General features: G+C 36.6%; 1 annotated feature.

Moving 5' to 3' along the window:
- Nucleotides 1126-1326: a silencer, noted in NCBI's record as "peak6822 fragment used in MPRA reporter construct". NCBI's record gives its function as "represses an SCP1 promoter by STARR-seq MPRAs in K562 erythroleukemia cells {active_cell/tissue: K562}" and the evidence as "EXISTENCE:reporter gene assay evidence [ECO:0000049][PMID:32103011]".

The following is a 10684-nucleotide window of genomic DNA, read 5'->3' as shown; positions in this document are numbered from 1 at the left end:
AGCAGAAAGCTTATTTAGTAAAATAACGGCTGAAAACTTCTCAAATCTGTAGAGGAATACAAACATACATATAAAGCCCGAAGAATCCTAAAAAGATCAAACATAAAGAGATCTATACTGAGACACATTATAATTAAATTGTCAAAAGTTAAAGTTGGAGAGAATTTTGAAGGAAGAAAGAGCAAAGAGACTTGTCACATACAAGGCAACATCATACGAATATACACAGATTTTACAACAGATATATGCAGGCCAAGAAAGAGTGAGATGATATAAGAGTGAGATGATATATTCAATTGTTAAAAAAAAGAAAAAAAAAACCCTGCCAAACAAGAATACTACACTTGGAAAAAAAAAAGTCCTTTAAAATTGAAAGAGAGATAAAGACTTTTCCAGAATAAAAGAAATAAAAAAGAACCAGGTAATTTGTCATCAGTAGAACTTCCTTATGAGAAGTGCTAAAGGGATTTATTCGAGTTAAAATGAAAGGTTGCTAAACAACAACATGAAAGCATAGAAAAGTATAAATCTCACTGGTAAAGGAAAATATATAAACAAATACAGCATAATATAATATTGTAAATTGTGGTACATGAATCATTTTTAATTCTAGTATAACAGAAAACAAGAGAATAAGAATAAGCTAATAATAACTGTAATAACAAAAATGTTTGACTTAAGTTTTCTTTATAGGCAACCATATATCTTCAAAAGTTACAGATTGTTTCTTTCTTTCCAATGTTGTTCTTGTTTTGTTCTCTTCTTTTACTTTCATTGCTATTGTGCTTAAGATCCACAGCACAATAATGATTAGAAAACTAATACATGATGTATTTTTTATTCTCTATTATTTTCTATACATATATATCCTACTTCCCTTGCAGCCATTGATCTATTTTTGTTTCCTTCCTCCTGAAAAAATTTTCTACAATTTCTGTTTTAATTCCTGCTTTCTGAATATCACTTACAACCATTTAAATCATTTTCACACCAAGTACCCTGGTGAAACTGAGCTCTTTAAGATTGCCAATAATTTCTACTGAATATAATGCCATCCTTCATTTTTATTTGCTTAGCTAATTATTAGGTTTTAACAGGTGTTCAATTACTCTTTCTTAATTCACTTTCTTCACTTGTCTTTATTACTTCTCTCTCTCTTTTCAACCGTTTTCTCTCTATAGGTTTTACTCTCAATATTTGCCTCAAGAGACAAGTTTGGACCCCTTTCTTTTACTATTTATTCCTTTGTTGATGTTATCTCAGTCCAACAAGTTTAAATATCCATCTTCTTGCACTCTATACCCAAATTAATACATCAAGTTCAGGAGTCTCTTCATAACTCTATACCTATTTTTCCAACTGTCTATTCAGCATCTCAATTTGTATATGTATGCATCTCAAACAAAATGTATTCAGAAGTGAATTCCTGACATTCCCTATACACAAGACCTACTCTAACCACAGATTTTCACCTCCTATTTGATGGCAACTCTTTTTTCTTCTTCCTCTCTTCCTCCCTCTCTTCCTGCCTCCCTCCCTCCCTTCCTTCCTTTTCTTTTTCTTTCTTGCTTTCTTGCTTGCCTTCCTTCCTTCCTTTGTTCCTTCTTTCTTTCCTTCCTTCCTTTGCCTTTCTCTTTCTTTCTTCTCTTTCTTTCTTTCTTTCTTTCTTTCTTTCTTTCTTTCTTTCTTTTTCTTCCCTTTTTCTTTCTCTTTCTCTTTCTTAACAAGGTCTCACTCTGTTTCCCAGGCTGGAGTGCAGTGGTGCAGTCATAGTTCACTGCAACCTTAAACACCTGGGCTCAAGTCATCCTTCCACCTCAGCCTCCTGAGACTGTAGCTGAGACTACAGGTGCATGCCACTATGCCTGGCTAATTATTATTATTATTTTTATTTAGTAGAGACAAGATCTTGCTATGTTGCCCAAATGGTCTCAAACTCCTAGTCTCAAGAAATTCTCCTGCCTCAGGCTCCCGAAGTGCTGGGATAACAGGCATGTGCCACTGGGCCCTACCTTGATGGAAATTCTTTTTGTTTTTTCTTTCTTTTTCTTTTTTTGAGATGGAGTATCACTCTGTCACCCAGGCTGGAGTGCAGTGGCATGATCTTGGCTCACTGCAGCCTTTGCCTCCTGGGTTCAAGTAATTTTCCTGTCTCAGCCTCCTGAGTAGCTGGGATTACAGACACTGCCACCACACCTGGCTAATTTTGGATTTTTAGTAGAGACAGGGTTTCACCATGTTGGCCAGGCTGGTCTCAAACTCCTGATTTAAAGTTATCTGCCCACCTTGGCCTCCAGAAGTGCTGGGATTACAGGTGTGAGTCACCTCACCTGGCCAGAAATTCCTTATATCTGGGTTTTCAAGCCAACAACCATTAAGACATCCTTAGTTTCACACCACTCCATAATCATGTTGACTGTATTTTCAATATATATACAAATGTAAACTTTTATTATTTCTAGTATGACAACATGATCTGAGCTATAATGATCACTTATCTGGACCATGCAAAAACATCCTAATGGAGCAGGATATTTCCCTGACCCCTTCATGGGTTTTGTGACAGGGGTGCCTTGTTTCTTCAGCCCACCACTCTCAACTCCTTGCTGGAGGGAGTGCATGAGCGAATAAGGCAGGAACTGGAGTGCAAGAGTGCTGGAGTTGACCAGCTGAGTCAGCAGCAGTGGAATCGAACTCCACTCACTCGGACCCACTGTGTCCCACCCCTTGTGGGAGGGAGCACACAGTTGAGTAGATGCAGGAGCTGGAACCAGCGCTTTTGGGCTCTGGCAGGAGCATACTCCATGTGGGCCCTGTGGCAGCATCTAGGTGGGGGTGCCTGTGGCCCCCGATCCCCTAGAGGGCATGTTACAGTGCTCTTTTAGCTCTGTCATCCACGGGCGGCTTAAATGTTAACTGGTCAGTGGGCCCTCTGCCTTTTTGCATGAAGCAGCTGCTCTTTGCCAGCGAGGGCAAAGGATCAGCATGACACCCTTTTGTATCCACACTTGCGGCTCCTGAATGGTAGTGCGGCATCCAGGAAAAATAAGGTCTCACTAACGAATTGAAGGATGGTAAATGCAGGGGATTATTACTATTTTTTATTTTATTTTTTATTTTATTTTTTTTGCTGATGAAAGTGGCTCTCAGTGGGAAGAGGAGCTGAAAAGGGGGTGAGGTGGGTAAGTAATCTTCCCCTGAAGTCTGGCTGTCTCTGGCTAGATTCTTCTCCAAAGTTATTCTGTCAAGCTGTCCCTCTGAAGTCAAGCTGCTTCTCTCCAACATCCAGCCATAGTCCCATCTACCCACTGAGACTGGGGTTTCAATAGGCACAGGATGGGGCAGGGAGGGGCCATGGGTGGTTTAGGAAAAGGCAACATTCGACCAAAAAGACAAGGATATAAACTCTCGCTTTGGGCTGCAGTTTCAGGCTTTTCAGCTGAGGGTAGGGTTTCACCGGGGACTCGCCATTTTCTGCCTAGAATTTCTCTGCCTTCTGTCCCTATCACTAATACATCTCAAAAGTGTTACTTTTAAAATCGGTGGTCTTCTCATAGAGAAGAAGCTGAAGTAGAGAAATCCTTCAAAGTATAGGTCAAATTGTGTTACTTTCCTGTTCAAAACTCCGCAGTTACTCTCCTATTTCACTTAAAGTAAAAGCCAAAGTCTTTAAAAATGGCCTACATGACCCTTCGTGATAAAGTTTCCTGTTTACTTTATAGCCACATCTTGCTTATTTCATTCCATACTGGCCTCTACTTTGGAACACTTGTGTTTTGTTGGGCTACGCTTTTAACTGAGACTCTCAACTATTTGCCATTCTCCCTTTCTTCCTTTAGTAATAGAATATTTAATTATTAACTGGGCCCAAGGCCCTCTTGCATAATTCCTAGATTTATCAGGCACCCTCAGGGAAAGGTGCAGCCACATGCTCAGCAAATTCCAGCTAATAGGATGTGGATAGGAGTGATTTGTACAACTACTGGGTTGTGTCCTTAAAGTTGAGTTATTTTCAACACTTTCTTTTTTCTCTTTTTCCAATGGCTGCAATGCAGAATGGCTAGCTAAAGTCAGAGTAACCCCCTTGCACTATAAACTGGAAGCTCAAGGTGGGTTTGGCAGAACAATTTAATAGAAAGGTATGGTTTTTATTAATTGTAGGGGCACCACCAGCCTTGGATTATTTACATAGGCTGTTTAGGTAGGGCAGACATAACTTTCTGACTTATTAAATTCACTGGTAATTTTAGTCTCCCAATTATGCAGTTGAACTAATAACCTAAAAAACAGTATTTTGGCCTCTATCTTATAATAGTACTCAGATAATCCAAGGAATATTGAAGCTAAATAGAATTGGAAGGTTGCCTAAATCAGAAATCAAATATTCCAAATAGGTTATGCCATTTTCCAAACCAGAAATTTTATGTTTGCTTTTTATCAGCAGAGTTTATATGTTTTATAAACAATCATTTAGATCTGATAATGAGTTGGAATAATGTTAGGGATTCATAGATCACTGATTTATTATATTAAGAATTAAGTAACTGGAGTCTGTGTATGGTGAAATATGCAATAATTCCTTAGCTGTTTCAGATGATTAATACAAGAACTGGCTCAACATTTCACTCATTGCCTATGTATGCTTGTCTACCAGAATGATAAAGCATTAATAGATTCTTATTCTAACCGGGGGCAAAATGTGTTTCTTTTCAGCATTTTGGTGACTATCCTAACATGTTACAATGACTGCCCCAAGCAAAATGAAAGAGTTGGAATAGAGATGAAACAAAAAGTAAATGATGAGGCAGGGTGCAGAAAGATTTTTTTAGATAAAAATTATTCAATATAACTCTTTTCCTGTGGATAATGACCTATTGAGAGACTATTTCAAATTACTGTTTCATAGAATTATAGGTCTGAAAGCTAAAAGCCATGTTGAATAGAAATCAGTTGCAAACCCCAGCTCCCAGGCAGGCGATGCATTAATACCCTCAGTCCACACACTGGCTAATGACATTTTCCAAGATTACAAACTAGAAATGTCAGAACGAGATCCAGAGTTCTAGACTCCTGATATATGAATGCTTGTATTTTCTTGATAATGTGATACAAAGTTTGATTCTGTGATTCATTCATTTTTATTCATTCATCTACTTAACAGATAAATAGCCAGATAAATGTTAATGCCATACAACCAGTGAAACAGTGGAGGTGTGTCAAAATGCTAAGGGAACCTAGAAAGAAACCAGTTTCATTTCAAAAGCTTAGCAGTTACATTTTAGCACGGAGGGATATCTTGAGCTGATGGTTAAGAATAGTTATATATTTTGGATGGGAGGAATAGGCTAGAGAAAGACACTCCAGCCAGGAGGAACGTTTTGTGTCTCCCTATCCCTATACGGAGCCATGAAAGATTGTAGTGTGAATGAAAATAGTGAGCAGCCTAATATAGCTTGGATGCTGGGTGGGTTGGTGGAAGTGTTCAATGTGTTCCCACAAAAAGTGATGAGTTGCTTATCAGTCAGCTAAGAAATCTGCATTCTTATTATCCTGTAGGAAACTAAAGAGAAGAAAAGAGCCTTACAAGTAAGAAAAGCATAGTAAAGATTGCACCTGTTATCTTCAGAGTTAGTTGAAATGAATAAATCTGGGGAGTATGAATAGCATATCCAGTTTAGAAATAATAAAACCTTTTTTTTTTTTAATTAGGGCAGTGACGATGGAAGAAAAAGGCAAGACTTCACTTTGGGAGGCTGAGGCGGGCAGATCACGAGGTCAGGAGATCGAGACCATCCTGGCTAACACAGTGAAACCCCATCTCTACTAAAAATACAAAAAATTAGCTAGGCGTGGTGGCAGACACCTGGAGTCCCAGCGACTCAGGAGGCTGAAGCAGGAGAATGGCGTGAACCCGGGAGGCGGAGCTTGCAGTGAGCCAGGCTCGCGCCACTACACTCCAGCCTGGGCGACAGAGCAAGACTCCATTTCAAAAAAAAAAGGCACCACTTGATGAGGATTTCTAGAGTAAAATATATTTTTAAACATGGGGGCTAGAAACTGGAACAGCACTTTATAATATTAATAAATGTTGAGCATACAAGACGTAGAGAGGTTTGGTTAAGAGGCTGTGAGAACATATCTGTTCATGCTAAATATGTAATTCTGAAAGTATTTTATTACTTTGAACCTCAATTTTTCAAGGTAAAGTAGCCATACATATTCATCTCAAAGGATTATTAAACTTATGGAAAAAGTAAATCAGAAAATGCATGTAAAGTAATCAAGAATAGTTTAAGTGGAAGCCAATTAAGTGGAAGGTATTGAATAAATGGCAGTTGTTACTAGTATAATTATTTCTTGTTTATATTGTTTTATTAGAGTGAACTTAGAAACAAATATACTTCATGAAAATGAAAATAAATATCAGAATCATGGAGCGGAAATATGTACATGTCCACCTGACAGTCATTATTATAATATAATAGTTGAAAAGACAAAACCAGACCAATAGTTTATAGAATTCTCATAGAATTTTGTTCCTTGTTTTGTTGAAAGTAAATTGAGTTTTATAAAATTTGAACTTGCTGAGTGAAACAAATAAACACTAGAACCTATTAGCTATCAGCAGCAGGCGTCTACAGAAACATTAGAACCTCTGGATATGTGCCTATGCCTGAATGATTTACATTTTAGCCTTCAAAGCATTCTCTCAGTAGCAGAGCAGGCTAGCTTTAAGCCAAAATGTGAAATATGCGAAGTTTTTCTTCAGATGCTGCCTTTTCAAATCCTTTGCAGTGAATGGGGGAGACAGATTATAGAATATGACCTGAAAAATCCCTAAGGGTTTCTAAGCATCAGATATAGCATATTCTGTTATCTCCATCTATTTTCATAGAAGTGTAATCAAGTAAAATGAATATTTGATATTGATTTTAAAGAGAAAAAGGAAATCACAAAAGGGAAACGTGACATTAGGGAAATAGAGGGCATCTGACAAGAGACTTGACTTTGGTAGGGATGGTTGAAAGTGGTTATTGGTACATAAAACACAAGTTATTTGTAGCAGTCACTGACAGAACTATATCCTTTGTCGATGACAGGCTTTATAAGTCATTGCTGGAACCTGAGATTCTGGCAAACTCAAAACCTGTGTTCCCAAAATATGCGAGACACAATATATATTATTATTTCCTTTCCATGACTGGGCATACAGATAAATGAATCTCTCCTTCCATTCCTAAAAGGAAAAATGATCATCACCATCATCACCACCATCATTATAATCATAGCCATAATCACTTACACATAGTCATGAGACAACTTACATTGACCCAAGTCCTCTCCTAGTTGCTTTCTAATTATTAACTCATTTACTTTACCAGCAACCCCTTGAGGTAGGCACCATTGCTCTCCCCATTTTACTAATGAGGAACCTAAGGTACAGAGAAGTCATAGAACCTTCCTAAAGTCATACAGGGAATTCTTTCATTAGGCTAGCTATCATTTCCATGGGCCCAAAGAGTCTGATGACTATTTCAATTATCCAGGGCAGATAATCTTTGTATCTGTTGGAAAGACAGTACTGCAGTGTGGTTAAATAAGGTTGCCAAATCAAATCTCTTACTAACTGCAGGGGAAAATGGGTCTCACTCTCACTAACTCTATGACTTTGAAACACGTATGTAACCCACTTGAATTTGAATGTCTCCATCTATAAAATGAAGACAAAGGTGAAAATGGAGGTGTGTTAGGTCATAGTCTGTAATCCTTGTGGCATGTCTCTATGTATACCTAAGTGAAAATTCTCTAAGTTCTCAAGTACAAATGGAGACAGTGGGAGATGGCCCCAGTGTCCTCATATCAAGATTTTCTAGACCCAGTGACCATGCATGAGGCCTCCTTGATGCCATAACTCTCTGAATAGCTAAACTGTTTTCGTGGATGGGCTTTAAAAGTTGTTGCGGAGTGCTGATATAGCTCAAGTATAACAGCAGTGAGCCTACAGTTCCATGATTTTCAAACTCACGGGTATCTCACTCTGTTGTATAACCTGCTAAGATCACCAAGATTCAGATGCAATTCTTTGAGTCATAAGGTAGGCAATGGGGAAACTTTTCCACTCACTGTTTTTATTACCTGGTTTATAACTTTAATTTGTTTACTTGAAGACCTCCAAGAATCCAAAGGTAAAGTGACTTTGAGTGAAGGTTATAGTCATTTTCACCCACACTTGAATTTGAAACACCTGTGTGCTCTAACCCAGCTCAGTATACCAAGCAGATAACAATGACTCTATGTACTAGTGCATATCTAATAAATGTCTATAATATTTCAGGAGATAAGTGGCCTTAAAGGACTTCTCTCATTGTAGATTCTCAGCAATTGCCTAATTAACATAAAATCAGTGTGCCCTTCCTTAGTAGGTGAGTTACCACACGTAATAAGCCATGTTTTTTACTTTGTTTTAACAAATCAAGCCTTTGCTTCTCTTGGTTTGAAACTTCACTCTAAAATTATTAGGGCCTCTAACTCCTGTAACTCCCACAGTACCCTAATTGTCCACTATAAATGACTGCTGTCATACCATGAAATCCAATTGGGTATATCTTTTTCCCTCCTGCAAAATATATTTATTTATTTATTTATTTGCTTATTTTTATTTTATTTGCTTGCTGGACTTGTGCTAATTGAGACAGATGGTGTTATGATTTTTTATATTTTATCTATAAAATGAGAAATTCAATTGACTGCCACATTTAAAAACTTAGTTACTTAATCATTTTCCATTTTTCCATAAACTCCCTGAAATTAGTATATATTTAAGTAGAAAGAATTGAGAAACAGAGTTAAATTATTTGCAAGACTATAGAGTAAATTAAAGAAACAATTCACCATCAAGGTGAGGTAAGCTAAATCACCTCTAATACATTTAGATTCATTTTTCCATGATGTCATTAGATTGTGATTCTAATAATCAACTAACATTATTCTATTAATGGATTTATTGCATTTGGCAATATTTTCACTAATATTTTGGAATATTTAAATCTATGTGGTGGACTGCACTAATCCTATTTGCCCACTTCCCTAGGTTATTATTTCTGGTCCTCAATTCAATCATAATACTCTAAGCTAGGTTAAAGCCTGATATTATTTATTATTTGTTTTAATAAAATTAACACTCAGTGCATGCTTCTAACCTATCAGCAATCTGGTGTGTAATGTTTATTCATTCTATCTTCTTTAATATCTGCAGATAGTTTCTGTATCTTAACAGTAATATAAAAACAAACAGTGTGTGTTTTTCCCTTGTAGAATGACTCATTGTATGGGGAGAAATGGTGTCCCACTGACTAAACATTTTTACATAGTCAGTTACAAAATATCTTACATGTAGAGTTGTAAGGTCATTAATGAATTCATTCTTTTGTCATTATTTGAGGCATATTTTGTATCAGATACTCTACTAAGCATTGACTTCAAGGAGGTTAATGTCACACTGTTTAATGATTGTATTTTTCACCCTCCTATGTCACTAGGTTTAGTCATTCTAGTAAAACTTTATAAATTCCTTCTATAGTTAACAATTTTCTCTTTGCTCTGAATCATCTCTTCGGGTGTTCTATAAATAGGACAGTGGCATTGCTCAAATGGAAGATTCTGACAAGAGAACTTCCGCCAGCAGGAAACCAGAGGGTCCCCAAGGGAAGTCATCGCTGAGAAATCTCAGAAGATTTCCTCTTTCTGAACTTGTGAAGATTCATCTTGCTTTCCTTGATTGTCCTTACAAGGCATGAAAGAGATAATTGCTTTATCCTCTCTCTGTAGCATATACTCTATGTATCAGGGGCAATGAATAACTATTTCATAAGGAAGTCTCTCTGATGAAACCCCAAGAGTACATATGGGTCAGTAAGAAAATGAAGTGTAGCAAATTACCTCTGTCTTTGGAACAATTTGTTTCTTGCCTTACAGTTACTTTTGAAATAGAAGTTATACGTCTGTGAAAAATATTCACAATATGTGTCATATGAGATGTATACATAGATCATTTCTCATGGTTGATATTGTCTATAATTGGTTCTGGTTCTGACAAATTCTATATAATGCATGATCGATACCTTATATAAAAACCAATGCAATAAACTTAGAAAGAAATCAAATAAGGTGAAAGAAAAATACCATAATGTATGCCATTTAATATAAATATAAATTAAGAAAATGGCTACTTAATATTTCTAAATGTAATCATAAAAGTTACAAGACACAAAAGATACTCTTTAGCAAAACATCTTATAATATTACTTATATTTGCTCTACTATTGTAGACTCGCTTTTAAGATTTTCCATTATCTGGTCCTAAACTTTCTGTTGAGATATTTGATGTGGCTCAAAGAATACCATACTAAATCTTATAATTCAGTTCCCATTTTTTGCACTGATACTAAAATCTGTGTCACTTTGGTTAAGTTCTTGACACTTCTTCACTTCAAATATCTTATATATAATGTGACTGATCTATGTGACCTCTGAGGTTACTTTTCACTTTAACATGATGACTTTTGTATTTATTTTTACTTCTCAATACACTCTCAAATGTATGTGACACATTCTGGCCTCAAACCCTTGCATAAGCCTATTAGTCTGCCACTATATTGTAGGCTCCAAGAGAATAGAGACGGTA

Source organism: Homo sapiens, chromosome 7 (assembly GCF_000001405.40).
Source record: "Homo sapiens chromosome 7, GRCh38.p14 Primary Assembly".
Classification (NCBI taxonomy): Eukaryota; Metazoa; Chordata; class Mammalia; order Primates; family Hominidae; genus Homo; species Homo sapiens.
The sequence above is the reverse complement of the archived record's forward strand: the minus strand, read 5'-3'. Positions and strand labels throughout refer to the sequence as shown.